Source organism: Homo sapiens, chromosome 3, assembly GCF_000001405.40.
Source record: "Homo sapiens chromosome 3, GRCh38.p14 Primary Assembly".
NCBI classification, from domain to species: Eukaryota; Metazoa; Chordata; class Mammalia; order Primates; family Hominidae; genus Homo; species Homo sapiens.
The window spans coordinates 90176527-90178663 of record NC_000003.12 but is presented as its reverse complement, the minus strand read 5'-3'; the positions used below and the strand labels follow the sequence as shown (position 1 = coordinate 90178663).

Here is a 2137-nt window from a genome sequence, read left to right as displayed (position 1 = left end):
TTTCCATTCCTATATTACATTCATGCTAATTTGGGCCAATGAATAAAAACAACCTGAAAAGGAAAAAGTAGGGTATTTACTTCGGGATGAGAGAAAAATAATGGGATTGAAGGAAAATAAGAGAGGAAGGAAAGGCAAAAGCCCACATGGGGTGTTCGGGCTGAGAAGAGTGCTTGGTTGGGGGCTAGGAGTAGCAGGGAGGGGGCCGGCCGCGGGCCCCCTGTAATCCCAGCACTTTGGGAGGTTGAGGTGGGCGGATCACGAGGTCAGGAGATTGAGATTATCCTGGCTAACACGGTGAAACCCCGTTTCTACTAAAAATCCAAAAAAAAAAAAAAAAATTGGGCGGGCGTGGTGCCGGGCGCCTGTAGTCCCATTTACTCGGGAGGTTGAGGCAGAAGAATGGCTTGAACCCGGGAGGCGGAGGTTGCAGTGAGCCGAGATGATGCCACTGCACTCCAGCCTCGGCGACAGCGCAAGACTCCGTCTCAAAAAAAAGAGTATCAGAGAGGAACTGCTGCTACCCTTGTGGGGATCAATGAGTTACAGAGAGTGCTATCATTTGAAATTCATGTTAAAATTTAATTGTCATTGTAACAGAATTAAGAGGTGGAAGCTTCTAGAAGAGATTAGGGTGTGAGGGCTCCACTCTCATGGGTAGCATTAGGATGTGATGCCTCCATTGTCATGGGTGCCATTGGTGTCATTATAAAAGGGCGAGTTTGGCCCCATCTTGCTCTCTCTCACGGTCTAGAGTCTTCTAACTTTTGCCTTGTGAGGATTCCTTCTTTTTTCCCTCTGGAGGATGCAGCATGAAAGACGCCATCTTGGAAGAAGAGAATGAGCTCACCAGACATGGAACCTGCCATTAACATAACTTAGATTTCTCAGATTTTCAGAACTGTGAGCCAATAAATTTCTATTTATAAATTATCCAGTCTGTGGCGTTGTTTTATAGCAGCACAAAACGGACTAAGGCAGGTGGAGAGAATAGAACGTGAGATGATCTATGGTTTTTAAAGTATTTTTCCATTCTGTTGCCATTTTGAAAAGGACATGTTTAAATGATTTGAATGTCTTAATTACTTCTGGTTACTGTTTGTGTTTCTCTGACCACACAAGGCTGAGCTGAGCCTGAATCACATGGGCATGGTTTTTATCCACAATACTCTACATTTCTGAAAGATATCAGGTTGCCAAATGCAGGAAACTCTTATGATTTTGCGTATCTCTTGGTAGGGAGCTTGTATCAGGCCATTTTTTCAGGCAGTGCAAAGACAGAAGTGTGATCATGTTCCTCTTCATTTTGAAGTTTTAGGCCTCTCATCTTTGGAGCAAAGTGTATGTTCTTGAATTACAAGACTCTTGAAAGAGAAAACCTTGTGGTGAGTGAGAGAAAATGAGCCTATAAGAAAAATCTTGGAAGGAGGCTTCGTTCAGTGCCACTGAGTTCAACTCCATTCCCTGGAGATGCTGAAATTGAGGAGGCCTAGGGTATTCTACCGAAACTTTCATTGAGACCATCCATTGCTCTGTGTTTCGTATTGAAAGAAGAGAGGCTATAGTCAAAACAATTAAGTATTTTAGCTATTGCGTTTTTCCCAGTAGCAGAAATGGTGGCAGTGATCTTCTGTCCTTATTCTCATGTTGATCAAGTTATAATACCATTCTTCATTTTCTTCTGGCTATCAAAAATAATAAAAAAATTCAACACATTCAAACCTAAACTTTAGGCTTTTCCCTCCTGAGATTTCCCCTCCAACTTTTCTTACCTTTGGTCTCCTGGTCTCTCAGTTTTAGAACTTAGAAATAATCTTTTGTTTTCATCTTCACTCTTGTCCAATCTTTGATGATCCATAATTTCTGCTCTTATAATGTTTCTCAGACTCTGATGATTGGCAACAATATGATTTTACTCAAGGTGTTCCAAATGGAGAAGCCTGTCCCCTTCCTCTCTAATTCTTTTAAGAGCACAAGTTAGTCTCCCACCTTAAGGTAGTGTGTACTCTTTACTCTAATGCCCCAGCCTGTGTCCCATCCCATACATACTTGGCAATTATCTATTGCTTGTGGGAATGATTGTGAAGTTTATTAAAATGCATTATTTTCATGTGCATCTGTCCTATATGTGTACTGA

General features: G+C 41.8%; 1 annotated feature.

Annotated features, from left to right (window-relative positions):
- Window positions 316-816: an enhancer, noted in NCBI's record as "H3K4me1 hESC enhancer chr3:90226998-90227498 (GRCh37/hg19 assembly coordinates)". NCBI's record gives its function as "activates a minimal SCP1, AML or CMV promoter by ChIP-STARR-seq in primed H9 embryonic stem cells {active_cell/tissue: H9 hESC(primed)}" and the evidence as "EXISTENCE:reporter gene assay evidence [ECO:0000049][PMID:30033119]".